We start from the raw sequence: 22955 nt of genomic DNA, 5'->3' as shown, positions 1-22955 counted from the left end.
CATTAATTGACTCTTAACTTAAAGTCAGCAAGGCAGTAGAACCCAGCGCTCTCCTGTCGTGGAAGCACCTCTGTCATGGAGGCCAGAATTCTAGTTTTGAAGCTCTGATCTCCAGAAAGAGTCACAGCCCTTCAAAGCCTTCTTGCAAACTGTTCTGTAACATAGCTCTCACTTTAAGATGCAGAAACTCTAAGAAGATGGGAAAAGAGGAAATTGATCATCCTTTAACATTTGTTTTCCAGAAACATTATTCTCTTTCCAAGTATGATTCACAGTAAGATTTATTGGATAAGTCCTGTTGCTGCATTTAAATCATGATGACATTGGTTTTAGAATAAGAAAGATTCTTATATAATCATTACATTGAAACTCCTCAAGGTTAGAGATCTGGCTCATTTTTCTTTGAATCACCCATAGCACCTAGCCCCATAAATATTGATTTTATCAAGAAAGATTGTGTGATGAAGTGAGAGGAACATTAGAACTGTAGCTGACGAATTTTTTAAACCCAGGAACATCAAACTCTTCCCCAAGGTGTCTGTTGTCCCAGGCTCTTTGTGTATTTGGTGAGGTGCAGCTTTAGAAGGTGTCACGTGTACAGCCCGGGTAGATAAATGTATTTGTAGCAATGAGGCCCGTGTCGCGGCTTTTCACTGTCCGCACCCCGTATGCTCAAGGATTCCCAGAAAGTCTAAACTTCCGGCCGTCAAGGTCACGCATCTCACCTTCCAAAGGATGGTGTTGACCGCCTCTGCTGCCAGGCCATGCCCAGCAGCAGGCTGATGAGATGCATGGGGAACAGGGGCCTTGGGGAACAGGATTCTCCACCCTAGCATGCCACTCCTTCCAGATCTCCAATTCTTTCATCCCTGTTTCTGTAGAAAATTCTACAAGCCAGTGGCCCACTTTCCTGCCTCCATCAGTTTAACAGAGTGAAGATAATTTAATCGTCCTTTAACGAGGCAGGATCTTCAGTGCCCTGTGGTTATAATTAAGAGCATCAGCGATCATTACTAGCATTCATTAATGCAGCCCGACCCCTCCTATTTCGTTCCCCTTGGCTACTTCCTTGCCCACACTCACCTGTTTCTTTCCTTAAATGCCTAGAGCTGCTGTTTGACCATCTTTAACCTGCCTCTTCACTGCCCTTGCTCTTTTACCTCTGTCCTTTCTGTCCCTATCTGTTCACCATCACCCTCTCAGTCCTCTGGACATGGGAACTCAATAGCTAATTTTGCATGACACTACCTCTGCCCCCAATATCAGTGTGTTTCCAAGCTTTGGTGGACTGATGGTTGCAAGGGGAAGCATTTCCATTAATAAAATGAAATCTTGGATCTCCAGAGTGGCTCTGGAAGTAAAAATACCTTCCTCTCTAAGAGAGAGAGCTGGATGAAAGCCCGTATTGGGGTCCTCTGAATATGACCTTCTCTGGTGAGGCCTGTCTGCCGAGCCTCCGGATGATGCTATGTAACCCTTAGTGCTGTCACTCAAGTGTGAACCAAATGGAAGGCGGGCCAGCCAAGACTTTTGAAAAGATTGAAATTTTACAAGTAGAAAGGAGGTGGAAGAAAACGATAATAGTAAACAGAACACAAGACACATAACTACAACCTAATGAAGATACACGGCAGAGGTTTCCGGAGCTACATTGGTTGGTTTGCTTCCAGGCCACGTAAGTCCTGTCCATCCCGCATGCAATCTCTGCTTTCCTGATTTCCCAGCATCAGGTAGAGAAGGTGCCATTTGTACCCCCACCTTCCTGGAGCTGCCTCAAGTGCTCAAACTCTTGACATTTCCAGGAACTATGGAGCCAGCTTTCCATTTTGCTTCCCAACACCTCAATAGGGACAAGAGTCTTTTCTTTAAATAGGGTGCCTACAGTCAATAATAATTTCATTGTACATTTTTAAATAACTGAAAGAGTATTATTGGATTGTTTGGTGTTTTTTTTTATTATTATACTTTAAGTTCTGGGGTACATGTGCAGAACGTGCAGGTTTGTTACATAGGTGGCCAAACCATGGCCAGAACGTGCCATGATGGTTTGCTGCACCCATCAACCCGTCATCTACATTTGGCATTTCTTGTAATGCTCTCTCTCCCCTAGCCCCCAACCTCCCGACAGGCCCCAGTGTGTGATGCTCTTTTAACTTGCAGTGAGACCTGCCTTTAACATGCAGGAAGTAGTTTTCCAAATCCAGAAACTGTGAGTCCCTTGAGGATCCCTATTATGTTTTGTTCAACCCTGAGCCCCCAGTTACTGGAACAAGGCTCAGCATAGAACACCATGGCTTAATGCCCGATAAATGTGTGAGAAATACAAAAACAGAAGAAAGGAAAAAGGAAAGAGGAGAAAAGCATGAATAACAACACCTTGTCTTTGCTAATATTATAGCCATCACCGACCCATTGCAAGAGGGATAGAGTCTCCGAGAGGTTTTTCTAGGTTATGACCTTTCTTGCAAGTCAACTTCCAAGACTCCTGCTTTTGACCTCAAACCAAATAATTCTACCTAATTCCTGATTCAAATTGGTCATAAAATGTAGCAATCATTTTGATAACACTTAACAGTTCAAGAAGTGCTTTCAGTTAGATTTAAGAGCTAGTTTGTGGAGTACAGTAGATATGATGATGATGGTAATAATATCTGGTAGGTAGTGAGAAAGCTGAAAATCAAAGAAGTTGACCTAACTGTCTGGTAGGTAGGAAAGAAGGAAACTCTAATGCAGGTTTCCTCACTACAGATTCTTGACTCTGTCTGTGACCTGTATGTCACTCAAAATTTTATTGTCCTAAATGAGGTGGCCACTGCCTGACTTTTGCTAAGAGAACTGGTGCCGGTCTCTTTATGACCAATTTTTACATCATCTGTCAACCTCTGTTTCAGTTGGCAGTTGCTCTAACGGGCAAGGTTTACCCAGGGAATATCCACCTTGAATGTTGGCAGTTGTTCTAACGGGCAAGGTTTACCCGGGGAATATCCACCTTGAATGAAATCTCTGCTCATCCAACAGAAAAATTAGTGATATACCTGCCGTGAATGGTGGTGTTTCTCTTATCTGCTTTAGTATGGCTTTACTGGTACTGTTTGACAAGAAGACAAATGAAAAATTCATAGGGTGCATGAGAAGAGGTAACAAAACACCATTAAATTTTTGTTTGAAACAAACTATTCTAGAAAAAATGTGCACCATAGATTAAAAATCATGGATCAGTATTTCGATATGTAAAATGTTCCTACAAAGCATTTAAAAAAATAATGGCCCACAGACATGAATGTTCTCCACTGAAGAAGTAAACCCAAATAAGTCATTTAACACATAAAAAAAACTCTACTTCACAAAGTAAACAAAAAATTGAAAACCAAAGCAGTAATTAAACACTGGCAGTGCTTAAAAAAAAAAAAATGTGTGTGTACGTGTGTGTGTGTGTGTGTGTGTGTATCTATAGTGCCAATGATAATAAAGGTATGAAAAATGTAAATACTTCTCCTTGCTGGAAGAAGTATAAATCACTAAAGCGTTTTTTTTTTGCAGGGCAATTTTAAAGTATGTATCTAAGTTTTAAAATATGTATATATTTGACACAGCCATTTCATTTCCAGGAAATTATAAGAGATGAGAATAGGGAGCTTTTAGTATTATTTATGATGAGGAAATTTTGAAAACATAGGCAACTTCCAAAAACAGATAAATTTAAATTTAAGTTGTTAAATTTTGGTATATCCATACAATTGAATAACATGGAAATCATACATAAAATGTGGAGTGTCGACATGAGGAAATGTTAATAACGTATTTATAGAACAGCTGCTAAGAGTAAGTAGGTTATATAGTAATTCTACCGTTATCCTGTTTTTGTCAAAATATATCTGTATATCTAAACACATAATAAAAGTCTAAGACTGCATTATAAAATTATCTCTAAGTGATAAGATTGCAAGTAACTTACTCTTTTTGTGTTTTTTCAAGTGTGCACATTTTATGAAAGGAATTTTTTTTGTTTTATCATCAGAAATAAAGATAAAATGCATCCAAAGTTATTGGAAACATGAAATTTGATTTACTGAGATTTCATTTACATGCAGCCCTTGGAGAATATATACATTACTTAAAGCAGGGCCTGGTTCTCCTCTACTGGAAGAAGGCTGCTTTCTGGAAAATACTCCCTGGGAGCACAGGAACCTCTACGGGGCTCACCTCCCCTCCCTGGGCAGAGAACCAGAGAAATGAGCAGGAGATTATACCCGCTTGACTTCTTGTTCTTATCCTTTTTGATTAAAAAATACATCAAGACATGAGATGGATGGAAAAACCCATAAAAATTGTTTTACTGCATCATAAAAGGCTTACATTTCTGACATTAGGATCATGAAGGGATTAATTGATACTGTCACTCTCTGTATTTCTAGCAGAACACACTCTAGCTGGGATGGCGCAGCCCTGCTCCGAGGTCTGCGTGAAGCCGTCCAGGGTGCCTGTTCCTTGCGCCTCGGTTGTCATTCACTCTCTGTGTTCAGTTTAGGCACCGTTGCTTTGAGTAGCTCCTGGGGGGCAGGGTCAGCGTCTTGATGTAGTCACTGAACTTTGTACATTGCTTGACCGATAAGAGGCATTCTTGCCGGGCACAGTGGTTCACGCCTGTAATCCCAGCACTTTGGGAGGTGGAGACAGTCAGATCACCTGAGGTCAGGAGTTCGAGACCAGCCTGGCCAACATGGTGAAACCCCATCTCTACCAAAAATACAAAAATTAGCTGGGTGTGGTAGTGCACACCTGTAATCCCAGATACTCGAGAGACTGAGGCACGAGAATTGCTTAAACCTGGGACACAGAGGTTGCAGTGAGCTGAGACTGCACCACTGTACTCCAGCCTGGGCGACAAAGTGAGACTCTGTCTCAAAAAAAAAAAAAAAAAGTCATTACTTTTGTTAGTATCCCTTGCCCCTCATTTTGATTTACATAAATATTAAAATATTCTAGTAATTGTGGGGAACAAACAGATCAGGAAGTAATCTCAGAGCAATTTGATTTGTTGGTGAGTAGGAATTATTTACTGCTAATTTTCCAAATAGTAGCTTGGCTTATTCAGTCATTCATCCTTTCATTTAAGAAACATTGATTTAGTTTCTGTTATATGCCAGGCACTGTTCTAGTCCTGTTGACTGTAGAAATAACTGACAAAGTCCCTGTTTCTATGGAGTTTATCTTCCCATGGAATTGAGACCAGATCTTTCCTTCCTTTCTCCCTTCCCTTTCCCTCTTCCTTCTGTTTGTTCATCCAATAGTCCATCCAGTCATCCATTCATTTTATCCACCCATCATTTGCTGAATGCTCATCAGGTGCCAGATGCTGTGCTAGGTGTTGGAGGATACCAATAAACAAGACCATGTTCCTGTTCTGAAAGAGCAGAGGGTCTAATAGGGGAATGGGACAATGTCAGGGCTGTCTAGTAAATGCAACATCAGGCATAACCCCAGGGCAGCATCAAGGGGTGCATGGGAGACCTCGCCCCCCAGTTGGAGAGCACCTTTCTCTTGGCCACAGAGGAAGTTGGCACCTGCTTGCAGGAGGAAAGTTGGCCTCAGGAATTCAGGCTTAAACAAAAAAGGATGCCACTTGCTACCAGGAACACTCATATGAATGGTGAGGTTCCTTGGGGGAAAAGCTGTTGTACAGTAAAAATCCTTGGTGTCAACTACATGTTGAGCCACCTGCTCCATCCTGGGGGCTAAATGGAAGGTCTAAGTCCCCCGGTACCCAACATCCATGTTCTAGGAAATCTGTCCACTGGAGAAGATAGTTAGCGATGCCCTCTCACATCTTTAAGTGCCACATCAGGGACTTGGACTATCCCTGCTACGGGAACACAGTGGAACTAAGAGAAGAAAGAAAGAAATGCTTATTGAGCACCTACTAGATTCCTCCTAGGCATTGTGCCAGATGCTTTCATGTGCTATCTCATTTAATTCACACAGAAATCCTGTGACAGTTCATTATGTTTTTACAGATGAAGAAATTGTGGTTCAGAGGGGCTAATTGACTTGGCCAAGGTCACAGGTAGCAAATAGCAAAAGGCAAAACTGAGTTCCCAAACAAATCTGTTTGACCTCTTCATCTTTCTGCAGTTAGGAAAGCAGCATGGAGGAAGTTTCGCCCTTTGGCTCTTTATTTGAAGTTCTCTCATGGCCATTATTTCATCCTACTTTGCAATGCGGTGTTGTTTCCCAGACTATTTTGCAGAACACAAGATGTTAATAGGTGTTCTAGGCAAAAGAGCCTCCATGGCTAAATACATTGGGGAGATTGTGGGTGAAACTGGTTTAAGCCTGGAGCTCCTTTAGCCTTCAGTGTACTTCCATGTGTTTTGAAGCTCAAAGAAGAGACTATGGCAGGCACACAGTGGCTCAGGGCACTGGTGTCCAGTGGAAGCCCGTTTGGAAAGTATTGCTTATTTCCCAAGCATTTGATGAGCTTCTTCTCTGAGAATGGCCCCTGTGGTCCATGTTATTGCTCCCTCTGGACTGGACTGTGAGCAGAGATGGGGCCCTATCCTCCTCTCTCCCAGTGCCCATTGAACTTGACATAATTAGAGCTTAATCAACCTATGCGTGGGTGAGTGAAATAGGGCTCACCTTTAACCCTGAAGAGGTAGAGGAAAGAGCCATTGAGTTAGAGGAGGGCTTCCAGGAAAAGGAAGGAGTTAGACCTGTGACTCAGATGCAAATAGAGATGCTGCCCATTTGAGAAACGTAGAAAGAGGTTTGGTTTCAGCAGAGGGTGAGTATTTTAGATCAGCGACAGTCAGGGATCCTTTATCCAAGCACTTGGGCTATTTTTACTGCAATGAAATGGAATTTGCAGGACATCGAAAGACTGATGGTGACCAAAGGCCTTAATTCTCCATCTGTTACCGATGAATTGCAATGCTTAGTACTTTCCTGGGTCATAGCCATACTGGTTCTAACCCATTGCTTGAAGGTGGAATTACTCAGCTGAGCTCTAAGACCTGGCGGAGCTCACTGGCATTTTGTGGCGAACGTGGGGGTGCGTGTGTGCATGGCTGGGGGGAGTTGTGTCTAACCACAGGCAAGCTTTGGGGGTATTCTGAACGCTTTTACTACTTTTCTTGGACATGAAATTAAGGTCCCATGAGGACAGGCAGTTTTCATTTACCTTATTTGGAATACAGATTGACACATTTTTCCCTGATCTTTTGTTGAACCCAAAAGAACAAGCAAGCATAGTTTCTAAACAAAGAGGGACTTTGACAAAGCATCTTTAGACGGCATAATTATCAAGTAGAAACTTTTAACAAAGAGTTCTTTAGAGATTGAAAAATTCCCCATTCCTTATAACTGACAGCAAACCCTTTCTTGGAAGGGACCCGTTGGCCTGGCCTTGCTTTTGCTGCAGCCTGTAATTATAGTCACTTGATCTCCTGATTCAACTAAGAAGGAAGAAATCTGTACATATGAAGTGTCAGGGTCTCTCACGCCCCAGGTGGGGCTTTTTCTGAGAACATTCCTCCCAGAATTTCTTGTCACCAGTGGCACTTTGAAAACTTAGCGGTGAGCCGCCACGCAGCTCTGAGCTGTTTCTTTTTCATCTCTTTGGAAACTTTTCCCAGGAAAGTTATTTCTGTGACCTGAGAAAAGAGCACTGTGACAGGCTCAGAAGGCTCCCCACTGTCCTTCGATTCCAGCAATTGTCACCGAGCCGAAGAATCGCAGGGCAGCACCTCATGACTCACATCCGAGTCATGTCACCGAAGCTGCATGTTGCGTGCATGAAAAGGTCCTGTGTGCACGTTCTGCTAATGTTAGTTATCCACACTCTGACATCGCCGTTTGAGTTTCTCTGCTTCTGCCCTCCTTGCTTATGATCTGGTCATGAATGTATACCTTTGGAGAGCACCTTTTGGGTGTAGTTAATACCTAGTATTCTTTGGGCTGGGGGGCGGGGTGCAGTGGGATAGGGAAGAGAACCAAAAAGGAAATGTTACTTCATTTAAAGGACATATGAACCCAAAGTATCTGAGAGCAGTCTCAATCAATTTAGAAAGTTTATTTTGCCAAGGTTAAGGACATGCCTATGACACAGCCTCAGGAAGTCCTGAAGACATGTGCCCCAGGGTGGTCAGGAGACAGCTTGCTTGTATACATTTTACAGAGACGTGATGCATCAGTCAATATGTATAAGATGTGCATTGGTTTGGTCCAGAAAGGAGGGACAAGTCGAAGTAGTAGGCGGAGCTTCCAGGTCATAGGTAGATAAGAGACAAAGGGTTGCATTCTTTTGAGTCTTTGATCATCCATTCACTGAACACACAATTTACAGTGAGAAGAGTGGTGGAGAAATAGTCACTTTTGCCTTAGTCTGGCTCAATGAATCTGCATTTTTACATAAATAGGGCAGAGGAAGCAATCCAGGTATGCGTTTGTCTCAGGTGAGCAGAGGGAGGACTGTCTGTCCCACACCTGTGAAGATCAGCTAATCAGCTATCAATTTACATTGCCAGGTGAAGTTCAGCAGAATTGTTTTAGAATAAAGATATTGAGTTTCACAGGGAATTTCCTTGTGGCCAAATTGTGAGGAAGATACGTAGCTTTTGTTTTTTCTTTTTAAAATCTTTGTAGCTATCTTATTTAGGAATATAATGGGAAGCAGGTTTGCCTGAGGCAGTTGCCAGCAGTTCCCAGCTTGACTTTTATCTTTGGCTTAGTGATTTTGGGGTCCCAAGATTTATTTTCCTTTCACAGACAATATTCTCTAATAACACCTATCCAAATTAGGGGCTCTGGATGGTGTTTGGGCAGCAGACATGGTTAAAAAGAATGGCTGATTGTACAGTATGCTAATTATATCTCAATAAAGCTGTGAAAAAAATAATGAGTTAGGCCAGGTGCGGTGGCTCACGCCTGTAATCCCAACACTTTGGGAGGCTGAGGCGGGGCAGATCAACTGAGGTCGGGAGTTCGAGACCACTCTGACCGACTTGGAGAAACCCCGTCTCTACTAAAAATACAAAAAATTAGCCAGGTGTCGTGGTGCATGCCTGTAATCCCAGCTACTTGGGAGGCTGAGGCAGGAGAATCCCCTGAACCTGGGAGGCGGAGGTTGCAGTGAGCCTAAGTCATGCCATTGCACTCCAGCCTGGGCAACAAGAGCGAAACCCCATCTCAAAATAAATAAATAAATAAATAAATAAATAAATAAATAAATAAATAAATAAATATGACTCACTGATGCTGATTATCAAGTAGGTACTAGGAACTGGTCTAAACATTTTCTCTACCTTGATCTCCTTCAGTTTGTCTTCATAACCATCTCTATCACATAAATCCTATTATTATCATCCTTATTTAACAAATAAGGAGACCAATTAAGAGATATGCAACTTGCCTTTGACTGGTAAAGTGATGCAAATAGGAAGAGATGAAACAGAGATTCAAACCCTGGTAGTCCCACCCCAGTATTCATCTTCTATATGGGATTAGGCAAGATTCCTGAAAAAGCTTCTAAACCCCTCATATTAAACACAAAGACTCTGTTCCAGTGAGTAGACTATGCCATTCCCTGTCCCCAAATTCAGCCTGGCTCCCCCTCCCTGGTGCATGTCCTGTAGATGGTGGAGTGAAAAGAGGTGCAGTTTGACAAAAGAGGGCATTCCATCTCCTTATCTTCTGATATTACTGTCAGAAACAAGTTCCTGGCCTCTCACTTCAGCTCTCTTCTTTTCAGCCAGTTATCCCCTGAACAAAATTGCCTCAAGATTACAGATGAGCAGCTGTGTTTTGGATGCAGGAGCATTGCCATCTTGCTGACAGCTGAGTTTTCTCTGGGGACATCAGCTAGCCCACAGCACCCCACTCTTTTTCCACACTCCTTATTTTCCTGTAAGCTGTGGTTGGTTTCCTCTTGTGACCACAAATGAATCAAAAAGAGAACTGTTTCCCAGTTATTCCTTATTATGTCAAAGCAGATGTTCAAGGTGAGGCTCCGGATGACTTATCAAAACTCCAGAGGTGATTTGTGTCCTGATAACAGTGAGGTCTCAGACTCACATGTATGCAGGTGGAAGGCAGGCAGTGTCAATATGCAAAGCGTGCCAGGCATAAGGGGGTAAGCGCCATGTCTCTACCATTGTCACCAAGCACAGCACCTGTCTAGTTGTATTGCCTTTTAAAAGACAGACTAGGCCGGGCACAGTGGCTCATGCCTGTAATCCCAGTACTTTGGGAGGCCGAGGCAGGTGGATCACCTGAGGTCAGGAGTTCGAGACCAGCCTGACCAAAATGGTGAAACCCCATTTCTACTAAGAACAGAAAATTAGCCAGGCATGGTGGTGCATGCCTATAATCCCAGCTACTTGGGAGGCTGAGGCAGGAGAATCACTTGAACCTGGGAGGCGGAGGTTGCAGTGAGCCGAGATTGCACCATTGCACTTCAGCCTAGGCAACGAGAGTGAAACTCCATCTCAAAAAATAAATAAATAAATAAATAAAAATAAAAGACTAGATACATTGGCCAACAATATATGTTTGAGGCCCTTTGAGTGAAAAAGATTATCCAGATTTAGTAACCTTGAAGTTCCTGTGAAATATGTGATCCTGTGATATCATGATTCCTTTTCAGAAGGCAGACCAACCTCCTTTCCCCTCCAAAGATGTTTTGGAGAATACTTTGCAGAAAATATAAGAATATGAAATGTCTTCAAACTGTGGGATGGTGAGAAGGTGTGCCTTGGTATCAGCTGCACATTTCTGGAAAGTCGCATACTCATAGAACAGAATTAATTTTAGCAACTCTGAGAAAATGGCCTGTTTTTTCTCTCCCTCTTCTCCCATTCATTTAATATTTTTTTCCATCACTTTTCATATGCCCAGCACCTTGTGTATGTAGAAGGTATGAAAAAGTGCTGGGCTCGGTGGCTGACGCCTGTAATCCCAGCACTTTGGAAGGCCAAGGTGGTGGATCACCTGAGGTCAGGAGTTCGAGACCAGCCTAGCCAACGTGGTGAAACCCCACCTCTACTAAAAATACAAAAAATTGGTTGGGCATGGTGGATCACGAGGTCAGGAGTTCAAGACCAGCCTGACCAACAGGGTGAAACCTCGTCTCTACTAAAAAAATACAAAAATTAGCTGGGCATGGTGGTGGCATGTGCCCCTAGTCCCAGCTGCTCAGGAGGCTGAGGCGGGAGAATCACTTGAACCCGGGAGGCAGAAGTTGCAGTGAGCCGAGATAGTGCCACTGCACTTCAGTCTGAGCAACAGAGTGAGACTTCGTCTCAAAAAAATAAAAAAAATAAAAAATAAAAAGAACTACCCGGGCATGGTGGTGGGTGCCTTTAATCCCAGCTACTTGGGAGGCTGAGGCAGGAGAGTGGCTTGAACCTGGGAGCCGGAGGTTGCAGTGAGCCAAGATCACGCCATTGCACTCCAGCCTGGGCAATAAGAGTGAAACTCCATCTCAAAGAAAAAAAAAAAAAGAGAGATATGAAAAAGTGTAGGTTGTATCATTTTGAAAGTATCATGCATCTCAATATGTTAATACTCAGTAGAGTGGCTCGCTCATCCTCATTTGCCTGGAACTTTCCCAATTTTAGCATTAAAAGTTCTACATTCAGGAAACCCCTCAGTCCCAGGCAAGCCAAGATATTTGACCACCCCAGTGCTCTAGAAGACAGGACGAAATGATCTTGTGCAGGCATCAACAGAATTCCTTTACACATGACAGCTACAAATGCAGAAAGATACAGGTGCATCGTTTGATGACTCAGATGCTGCCAGCAGCACTGCTACTGGTATCATTACTTTACAAAATGACGAGCAGCTCTTGGTAAAATTCCAAACAAAGTGGAGTACGATCTTCCCTCAATTTACATGGTAGATGCTTTGCTAGAAAACTCAGCACATATTAAAATGTGCAGAAACACTCAGAGTTTAAATGTAAAATGTGGTTTAGATTTTATACATAGCTGCTTATTGACGTCTTTTTCACTAAAATGACTATCTGCTGAGACATTTGAAAGTCATGAGAGGCAAGGGACTATTGTGTGTGGTGTGGAATTTCCCTGTAGAGTGCAGAATGTTGATCATCCCTTGACCTCACCTCTAAATTTAGCCAATGGCATCCTCTAATTATAGCAACAACAAAAAACACCTGCAGAGGTTTCCAAAATACCCCACTAGGAATCAGTCCTGCTCTCATTGGAAACCACTATACTAGATATTTGAAAAGAAAGAAATACTCAAAAAGAGGTAAGCAACAGTAAGATCCTTTCTCTGGCATCCCTTTTTCTTTATCTCCTCTCCCTCTGCATGCCTGTCTCTCTCTTTGTCTCCTTCATCAGTACAAACTGTTGACATTTTCTCTGTGTATAACATCCTGCAAAGTGCTTGGGAAGGTCTGCAGGTAACTGCCATCTTTGCCTCCAAAGACCTTAAAGTATGCTTGAAAATATGAAACCAACCAGGAGAATCAGCTCAAAGTTAACCCATGGCACTAAATCAGGATTGCCTGCTCAGCTCCAGCTGTAACTGAATTGATTGGATGGTCTTCCCATTGTCTCCCCTGGCTCTCCACTGAGGCTCTACTCTTTTTTTTTGAGTCAGAGTCTCACTGTGTCACCCAGGCTGGAGTGCAGTGGTGTGATCTCAGCTCACTGCAACCTCCACCTCCCGGGTTCAAACAATTCTCCTGCCTCAGCCTCCCGAGTAGCTAGGATTACAGGCACCCGCCACCACGCCCAGCTAATTTTTGTATTTTTAGTAGAGACGGGGTTTCACCATATTGGCCAGGCTGGTCTCTTGGCCAGGCTGGTCTAGAACTCCTGACCTCATGATGCGCCCGCCTCGGCCTCCCAAAGTGCTGGGATTACAGGGGTGAGCCACCGCGCCTGGCCTCTCCCACTTATCTTTTATTGATCATAAGATCAGCCCAGTGCTTTCAGCCTCTTTTTGTACTTTGGCACCTGGGGAGGAGCTAAGGCCTACACCTCTCTGAGTGGAAGAGTTTCCTGGGCAGCCCTGTGTTTGGTCCCAACCAGTTATTCAGCATGGTCCATATTGGCATTATTTTGGGTGGGGCACAAGAGTTGGAAATAAGCAATAAATAAAATACAAAAAAATTCATGATGAGAGAGAAGAGACCATAAGAAATTAGTGAAGAGCCACATCGGAAAATTGAGCAGATGCTTTGCACATAAAAGCAACAGTTATAATAAGAGGTATTATTATTATAGTTGTTTTTGTACTTTGTGGGGTTGTTCGGGGCTTTCCAGAATCAATATCTTGTTGTTAGAAGAAAGACTGGGCTGAGTGTGGTGGCTCATGCCTGTAATCCTGGCATTTTGGGAGGCCAAGGTGGGTAGATCACTTGAGGTCAGGGGTTCGAGACCAGCTTGGCCACCGTGGTGCTAAAAATCTCTGCTAAAAATATATCTCAACTAAAAATACAAGTATGAGCTGGGCATGGTAGTGTGTGCCCTTAACCCCAGCTACTTGGAAGGCTGAGGCATGAGAATTGCTTGAACCCAGGTGGCAGAGGTTGCCGTGAGCAGAGATCACGCCACCTTACTCCAGCCTAGGAGTCAAAGCGAGACTCTCTCAAAAAAAAAAAAAAAAAAGAAGAAGAAGAAAGACTATTAAGTTTCATCAGTCCTACAACGTTTATAAGTCATTTTACAAACATTATCATATATGGTCCTCACAACAACCAACTTAATATCCCTATTTGACAGAAGTCTAACCTGAGGCTCAGGGAGACTTAGATTTGGTTAAGGTCCCACGCTGTAAAATAGCTCTCTCAGATTCATGCATGGTGTTTCTATGAGACTACACTGCCTTTTACTCAGAGGAGGCATTTGAACTGAATCTAAATGAAACCTTAGATGGTGTGGGCCAGACCAGAATGGGGACCTGCATTCAGAGAAGCAAGTGCTCCCCACGAAGAGGTCAAGGTCCGTGTAGAGGAAGTGGAACTCACAAGGTGAGGGCAGCTTATGGACGAGAGGAATGAGGGGCCCTTCCGGGGAGGTGAGGGAGAGCATGTGCCCACACGGGGCTGAGAGGCTTCAGTTAAGAGACCAGGCTTGTCAGGACAGCATGCACTGGTGTGTTTTGACAGAGAGGAGAACGTGGAGCAAAAGGAATAGATTCTAAGATCTTTGAGGGCAAAGACTGCTCATTCCTGTTTATTATTCCCAATACCTGAAATAGAGTAAATACATCATAAATGTTCACTTGAAAGTTGTGTGGCAGGTTGAAGCCAAGCCAAGGAGTTTAGGGTTGAAGCCACAGCAAGAGAGGGCTTGTCTGCCTTTTTAGAGTTCAATAATAATGCCATGATGTATTTAACTTTTATTTTGGTTTCAGGGGTACATGTGTAGGTTTGTGATATAAGTAAATTACATGTCATGAGGGTTTGGTGTACAGATTATTTTGTCACCCAAAGAGTAAACATAGTAGGCCAGGCCCAGTGGCTCATGCCTGTAATCCCAGCACTTTGTGAGGCTGAGGCGGGTGGATCACAAGGTCAGGAGATCAAGACCATCCTGGCTAACGTGGTGAAACCCCATCTCTACTAAAAAATACAAAAAATTAGCCGGGCGTGGTGGCAGGAGCCTGTAGTCCCAGCTACTCGGGAGGCTGAGGCAGGAGAATGGCGTGAACCCGGGAGGTGGAGCTTGCAGTGAGCCAAGATCGCACCACTGCACTCCAGCCTGGGTGACAGAGCGAGACTCCGTGTCAGAAAAAAAAAAAAAAAAAAAGAGTAAACATAGCACCCAATAGATGGTTTTTTGTTTTTTGTTTTTTGTTTTTTGTTTTTAAGATGGAGTCTCACTCTGTCGCCCAGGCTGGAGTGCAGTGGTGCGATCTTGGCTGACTGCAACCTCCACCTCCCAGGCTCAAGCAATTCCCCTGCCTTAGCCTCTCGAGTAGCTGGAATTACAGGTGCATGCCCCCATGCCTAGCTAATTTCTTTTGTATTTTTAGTAGAGAGGGGGTTTCACCATGTTGGCCAGACTGGTCTCGAACTCCTGACCTCAAGTGATCCACCCACCTCGGCCTCCTGAAGTGCTGGGATTACAGGCAATAGATAGTTTTTCTATCCTTATTCTCTTCCCACCCTCCACACCCAAGTGGGCCTAGTTTTCTGTTCTCTTCTTTGTGTTCATGTAAACTCAGTGTTTGGTTTTCACTTATTGGAGGTAAACATTTTGTGTTCCTGCGTTAGTGTGTTTACGATAATGGCATCCAGCTCCATCCGTATTGCTGCAAAGGACATGACCTTGTTCTTTTTTATGACTGCATAGTATTCTATGGTGTGTATGTACAATATTTTCTTTTTTCAGTCTACTGTTGATGGGCATCTAGGTTGATTCCATGCCTTTGCTATTGTGAATAGTGCTGCAGTGAACCTATGTGTGCATGTGTCTTTATGATAGAACTGTTTCTACTCCTTTGGGTATATACCCAATAATGAGATTGCTGGGTTGAATGGTAGTTCTAATTTCTTTGAGAAATTGCCCAGCTGCTTTCCACAGTGGCTGAACTAATTTACATTCCTACCAGCAGTGTATAAGCATTCCCTTTTCTCCAGAACCTCACCAGCATCTGTTATTTTTTTACTTTTTAATAATAGCCCTTTTGACTAATTCTGTGATTTTTAATTAATGAAACTTGCAGCTCCCGAGGTATGGTGAGTGTGGTGTTACAGGAAGATTGACCTGGCAATGGTATAAGTTGGTGAAAAGGTGTAAGTCGGAGGCAAATACTGATGGAGATTTGGGAGTCTGCTGTGGAATATAGGGGGGAGATTCCATGAGACTTTTGGGGAGGCAGCTTTGTGTGATGAAAATAACAGGACTTTGAAGTCAGACAAACCTGGATTTGAATCGTGGCTCTACCGTATTCTAGCTGTGTGCCCTAGGACAAGTAGCTTAAACTGTCAACTTCAGTTTCCTAATCCATACAAACGGGGATTAATATATGTATCTCAGAGAGCCGCTGGGAAAAATAAAATAGATGTATGCAGATCTTGTGTTCCTAGGAAATATTCAATAAATGTTTTGATTTTGTGTCCTCCTTTTTGCCAAAGGAATTATTGATCAGAAGTTGATAAGTAATGGGATTTGAGACTCCAGAATGTGCTGCCTAAAGATGGTGACTATAATAGAAAAATTAGATGTTGGGGTTTGTTTATTTGTGTTTTTAAAAGGAGATGGGAGCTTGCTGTGTTGCCCAGGCTGACCTTGAATTCCTGAACTCAAGTGATCCTCCTGCCTCAGTCTTCCAAGGGACTGGGACTAGAGGCATCACTGCACCCAGATCAATGGGTTTTTTTCATGTTAACTTTGAGTGACAGCCTAGTTGAGATGCCTGGGGTAGAATTGGTGATATGGGGCCAAAACTCAGCTGAGGCTTGAGAGGGGTGAATTGTGCAGAGACATTGATTTGGAGAGTCCTCAACAAAGGAATGAATGCTCTGATCAAAGAGTCACAAGATCAAAACAGAGACCAGGCTGTTGGTGTTCCATGCGCTCATCAACGCTGTTGATTAGCATTACCCCATCCTAGGAAACATGACAGGTTGCTTCCAGATGTTACCTTCAAGATCTGCATTCCTTTCAGATTGCTCGTCTTCTGCCACAGCTAGCAAGATTTGCCCGAACATTGAGGTCACAGCCTCAAATGAGCCCCTCAAAGCCTCAGAATGACAGGAGAGAAGCTTGGTCAGGCACTCCACTGGCATCTAAGGTAGACTGAGCTCTGCCAATTTCCAAAGACAGATGGGGCTGAAGAGCCAAGTTTTGGTAACATGGACAAAAACCAAAGCAATTCCAGATGTTAGAGCCGGAGCAGCCAGCGCCTCTGTTGCTTTCCACCCCTGTAGCATTAAAATTAGAGAGCAACAGCCAAGTAATGAAGCCTGGGTCACTCCCCATCTGTCTCACTAAATGCCATTTGGAACCAGTGCCTTTTCATTTGACAGTAAAATCAATGAATGAAATATCGCAGGGTTGAAAGTGATGCTGTTCAGAATTCATTATGGGCGATGCTCTATTCCAAAGGATGGAAGACTCAGCCCTCTGCACTTTACTTTCCGGTAACATCAACACATCTACTTAATGAAACTTGAACCTTCTGTTAATCCTTCACCTATTTGCTTTTAAACTGAGTCGTTTTGAGGAAAGTCTAAAGGCCTTCTCTCTGGATTCTGCCTCTTAATGAATTAGCTATCACAAAAAGTTGGAAGATGCAGCAGTTTAAGGAAAGAGGGACTAGTTAATTAGGAAAACAGCTTGAGATTGGAGGACTTTTGCCAATAATCACTGGGTCCCTTATCAGCCAACACCATTTCCTTTGAATTGTTCTTTCCTGTTGAGAAATGTCTCAGCACTGAGCACACCGAGCTGAGGGTCACAATTTGTACAAATTCAGATACAGCTATGAGGTGGGAGAGCAAAGAAGGGTGGCAAAGAGAAGAGGGAATGCCCTCACTCTTGGAATTAACACCTGCCTCTGGAAAAATGGAAGACACAGTTGAAACAATATCATTCCTTTATAAGTAATGAAAACTAGGATCAACATGAGAGAACAGACTCTTTTTTTTCAGAGAGTTTTGCTCTTGTTACCCAGGCTGGAGTACAATGGCACGATCTTGGCTCACTGCAACCTCCACCTCCCAGATTCAAGTGATTCTCTCCTGCCTCAGCTTCCCAAGTAGGTGGGATTACAGGCGTGCTCCACCACGCTCAGCTAATTTTTTTTGTTTTTAGTAGAGACTGCATTTCAACATGTTTGTCAGGCTGGTCTTGAACTCCTGACCTTGGGGGATCCATCCTCCTCAGCCTCCCAAAGTGCTGGGGTTACAGGCGTGAGCCACCATGCCTGGTGATAACAAACTCTTAAGGTGTGTGTGTGTAGTGTGTGTGTGTATGTGTGTGTGTGTGTGTGTGTAGAGAGAGAGAGGGGGTGAATGAGGCCAGGGCTCATTATCTGCTGCCCTTTCTACAACAGAAGTGTTCTTTCCTTGGGATAGTGGGTGTTTGATTTATGTAGGGGTATTAGACAAAAAAAGAAATACCTGGGATGACAAGTAACATTCACAGCTCATCTAAGAAATATCTTCAAATTTAATGCAGCCTTCCTTTTTTTTTTCCTTCAACAAATATTTATTGAGCACTTACTATATTCCCACCAGGTCCTAGAAATAATAAGTCATAGACTTCCCACAAGAGCCTGGGTGTTCAAGTATGACAGAGAGAGAGAGAGAGAGAGAGGCAAGAGAAAAAGCAAGAAAAAAAAACAGTGATGGGCATTAGAAGGCAACAAAGAAAGAGAGAACAAGAGTAAGGCAGGGCAGGGAAAGCTACTTCGGAGAGAGGGACATGAAGTAAGGCTTCTCCAAGGAGGAGAAATTCAAGCTGGAAACACAGAAAGGCGCTGACCATGACAAGAGTTGGGGTGAGCATTTCAGCATGTGCGTGGGCATGAGACAGGGCAGAGCTGGTGGTCTTGGAAGGGTGGAAAGTCCAACATGGCCGGGGTATAGGGAGTGACAGGTGGTGTTATGAAATTAGGATGGAAATGAGCGGGGACATATTGGGTAGGGACGTATAGGCTACCACAGTAAGTTTGGGTTTTTATGTCTAGACTTTTCGAGTAGGGAACTGGATGGGAGAAGACGTCATGGAAGAAAGGTGACCACTTAGCACCAGGTAAGAAAGTTGGTACAGCAGTATTTGCAGATGGAGGTGGCTAGATCCAAGATATATTTTGGAGTTAGCATGATAGGGATGCCATTGGTGAGAGAGAGGAGGAATTTGGGCAGACGCAGATTCCTGTTGTGAGCCACACTAGGAGGATGGAGTCACTGTCACTCAGCCTTTTAAGGAATGTTCTTGGCACATCAGCAGTGCACTTTGTCTGTGCCAGGGCTGGAGAAGCAAACAAGTGTAGAATGCAGTTCCTTCCCTCGCTGGCTTCACAGTCAAAACAGGAAGATGGACGTGTGAATAGACACTTAAAGAACGCCTTATGGTACTGGCACCCACCTGGAGGTTTTCTGCAGAACGCCCTGCAAAGCCTATTGTTTCCTCATCCACAACCCCCATGTTTGTTTTGTTGCAATCATTATTGTTTTGTTTTTGTTGGTATATGTGAAATCTATGGCATATGTTCTACTTGGGAAGGAGCATATATAATGTTTACATTCTGTTTAAAGAGTAATAAACCTAACATCCATGCACCCACCATCCAGCTTAAGACAAATCCTCACCCAAAGACTTGGAGCTCCATGTGGTCTTTGCCCCAGAGCTAACTATTGCACCAAATTTTGGATTTATCACTTCCATGTACTTTGTGGTTATAACAGTCACGATCACAAGCAATATGTATTTCTTTTGCCTCTTTTAGCTTTATACAGTGGAAGCATTCTATATTAATACTTCTGTGACTTGCTTCTTTTGCTCAAATTACGTTAGTGAGATGCATCAATGTCGCGCCATGTAAACTGAGTTCATTCATTTCACTGATGCATGTGAATAAGTCACATTAGATTGATCTATTCTTTTGTCATAGGACATTTGGATGTTTGCCATTTTTGGCTATTCCTAATACTTCTGTGAGTACTATTTATGTATCTCCTAGGGTTTTCCTGAGAGGTTACATGTAGGAGTGGGTTAGAGAATGTGTGTGTGTATGTGTGTGTGTATGTGTACGTGCATGTATGTGTGCATGTGTATGTGTGTGTGTGTGTATGTGTGTGCATGTGTGTGCAGTGTGTGTGTAGTGTGTGTGTATGTGTGCGTGGGTGTGTGCATGTGTGTGTATACACAGTCAACTTTATTAGTGACTGCCAGTGATTTTCCAAAATGGTTATTCCAGTTTACACCCCTACTAGTGATGAAGAGTTCTTATTGCCACCCATCTTAACCAGTTCTTATTCATTATTGTTTCACATTTTACGATCTTTTCCAATCTAGAAGAATGATACCTGAGATATTAATTTGCATTTTTTCATCATTAATGAGGTTATACATTAGGTATGTGCATTGGCTGGTTGAATTTCTGAGAAATATTTGTTTATATCTTTTGCCCATTTTTTTTGTTGCTCATCTTTTCCGTATTGACTTGTAGCCGTTCTTTATCTGTTCTGCAAACTAAGCCTTTGCCAATTTTATATGCTGCAAATATCAGCCTTCAGTTTATTGCATGTCTAATTTTTATGATGTCTTATGATGTGCTGAAGTTCTGCACTGAAGTTGAATTTATCAGTCATTTTTTTTACGGTCTTACATGTTTTTGGATTCGACTTATGAAAATAAACCAAAACCTGGGGTCATAAAAATACTCTTCTTATTGTATTCTAAGTTTTTGAAAGGTTTGCCTTTCACATTTAACTCCTTCATTCATATGGGATTGAATACTTTTTGTATGGTAGTGATTTGTTCCAAGATTTTTTTCATTACCTTTTCCATGCTTATTTGTCACAGATCAAGTTCCTATATATGAATGAATAAGTTCCATTGGTTGTTTATGTATTCCTAAGTCAATACTACATTGTGTTTAGATTATTATGCCTTTATAATAATCCTGATAGCTAGTAGTGCTAGTTTTCTTACCTGCTCTCCTCCCTTTTTTATAACTTAAAAATTGAACTATTAAAAACGTAAATAAAACGGGTGCAGTGTCCCACACCTGTAATCCCAGCACTTTGGGGGGCCAAGGCGGGCAGATCACCTGAGGTCAGGAGTTCGAGACCAGCCTGGCCAACATGGTGAAACCCCATCTCTACTAAAAAATACAAAAATTAGCTGAGCGTGGTAGCAGGCACCTGTAATCCTAGCTACTAGGGAGGCTGAGGCAGGAGAATCACTTGAACCTGGGAGGCGGAGGTTATGGTGAGCCGAGGTTGCGCCACGGCACTCCAGCCTGGGTGACAGAGTAAGACTCTGTCTCAAAAAAATATAGTACCAGCTCAATGAATTGTCACAATCTTGGCTGTTCTTAACCATATATATTTTGGGATAAGTTTGTCAAGTTCTTTACCTATGTACAAATACACATACACACACATTGGGATTTTGATTGCAATTTTATTTCTATCTATAAATTAATTTGATGAGAATTGTTGTATGTGTGATAATGAATCTTCCTATCTATAAACCTGATTTGTTATTATTTTATTTGTTCTTTAATATCATCCAATAACATTTTGCAATATTCCCCTTAAAGTCTTGTACATCTTGTATAATTTATCAGTAGACTTCAATTTTTTTATGATGTAAAGAGTACTTCTAGTAATGTGTTTTTTGTCTATTTTGAATACAAATTCATCAGCTTTTTTTGTATTTGTATTTTCTTTTATGTCTTCTTCCCTCTTTTTATTTTCAGAGTTTTTCTTTTAAATGATATATAGTTGGATTTATTTAAATTCCCAAATGAAAATCTTTCACCTAAAAAGTAAGGGTCTATTTACTAGATTGCGGCCACCAAGATGGCAGGTGTTATTTCTGCCACTTGATATTGTGCTTTCTAGTTGTCATACTTTTTAGATTTCTTCATTTCTCCTTTCTAACCTTCTTTAGAATGACTGTAGATTTTTATTTCTCATTCTAATTTTAACCCCCACTAGATTGAAAGTTATATACCAAGAATCTTAACATGAATATTTAACTTCAAGTCTGAAATTAATATCTTCACTCTTCTCCAACACAGTGTGAGACGTTAGAAAGTTTAATCGCCTCCTTCTGAGTTACATGCTTGTTATTTTAAAAGTTTGCTTGTTCTATTTTATTCTTGTTCAAATTTCATTAATTAGATAGCCTTGTTGATTTTTCAGTTGGTATATATATTATTTTTATTTTTTGAGACAGAGTCTTGCTCTGTCACACAGGCTGGAGTACAGTGGCATGATCTTGGCTCACTGAAGCCTCTGCCTCCTGGGCTCAAGCAATTATCCTGCCTCAGCCTCCTGAGTAGCTGGGATTATGGGCACATGCCACCACACCCGGCTAATTTTTGTATTTTTAATAGAGATAGGGTTTCAGCATGTTTGCCAGGCTAGTCTCAAACTCCTGACCTCGTGATCCACCCACCTCGGCCTCCCTAAGTGCTGGGATTACAGGCCTGAGCCACCACGCCCAGCCTCAGTGGGTATATTTTTAAATGTTTATCTATAAAGTTGCTGTTTTTTTTTCTCACTATTCTTCACATTTCAGACCTTCCTTCTGGGATTATTTTCCTTCCTCCTGAAGTATATCTTTTAAAATTTCCCTTCATGTAAGTGCCTAGTACTAGTAGCATCTGTTTTTTATTATCTGAAAAATGTCTTTATTTTGCCATCCCGAAGGGTGTTTTTCCTGGATCTACAATTCTTGGTTGACACTTATTTTCTCTCAGCACACTGAAGGTATTCCACTCCCTTAAGGCTTACATTGTCTCTGTTGGTAAGTCAGCTGCCAGTCATTTTTTACTTCTGCAACATTTATTTGGTTCCTTTTCAAATACACCTGGTCATTTTTAACAGTTTTCTTGTTCTTTTATCATAAAATTGTATAATCTGTATGGTTATCTATTCATGAATAATAAATTACCATAAAACTTAGTGGCTTAAAATAATTGGATTTGTTATGTCTCATAGTTTCTGTTAGAAACCCAGGAGGAGCTCAGCTAGGCAAATGTCTTCTGGGATCTCTCATGCAGCTGTAGTCACACATCAACATGGAGGGATAATTGACTTCTAAGGTGACTCATTCAAGTAGCTGTCAAGTTGGTTCCTGCTATAGGCCATGGGCATCATTTTTCCTCTATGTGGGCCTCTCCATAGGGCATCCTGAGTGTCCCTACAACATGGAGATTGGCTTCTCCCAAAGAGAGTAAACAATAAGAGACAGAGAGAGTGTGTGTGCCTGTGTGTGTGCGTGCCAGGCATAGGT

The 22955-nt window shown here is 42.3% G+C and overlaps 1 protein-coding gene across 26 annotated transcripts in view, besides 3 other annotated features; it reads left to right on the top strand.

Annotated features, from left to right (window-relative positions):
• Positions 1-22955, top strand: part of LARGE1 (LARGE xylosyl- and glucuronyltransferase 1) — an 856162-nt gene that overhangs the window by 438158 nt on the left and 395049 nt on the right. The gene's annotated exons all lie outside the window — the stretch shown is intronic.
• Positions 12013-12082: an enhancer, noted in NCBI's record as "active region_18884". NCBI's record gives its function as "activates an Ori minimal core promoter by ATAC-STARR-seq in GM12878 lymphoblastoid cells {active_cell/tissue: GM12878}" and the evidence as "EXISTENCE:reporter gene assay evidence [ECO:0000049][PMID:35858748]".
• Positions 12093-12152: an enhancer, noted in NCBI's record as "active region_18883". NCBI's record gives its function as "activates an Ori minimal core promoter by ATAC-STARR-seq in GM12878 lymphoblastoid cells {active_cell/tissue: GM12878}" and the evidence as "EXISTENCE:reporter gene assay evidence [ECO:0000049][PMID:35858748]".
• Positions 12293-12372: an enhancer, noted in NCBI's record as "active region_18882". NCBI's record gives its function as "activates an Ori minimal core promoter by ATAC-STARR-seq in GM12878 lymphoblastoid cells {active_cell/tissue: GM12878}" and the evidence as "EXISTENCE:reporter gene assay evidence [ECO:0000049][PMID:35858748]".

The sequence above is a fragment of the Homo sapiens genome, chromosome 22 (assembly GCF_000001405.40).
Source record: "Homo sapiens chromosome 22, GRCh38.p14 Primary Assembly".
In the NCBI taxonomy this organism is placed as follows: domain Eukaryota; kingdom Metazoa; phylum Chordata; class Mammalia; order Primates; family Hominidae; genus Homo; species Homo sapiens.
This window is presented reverse-complemented; position numbering and strand designations above follow the sequence as displayed.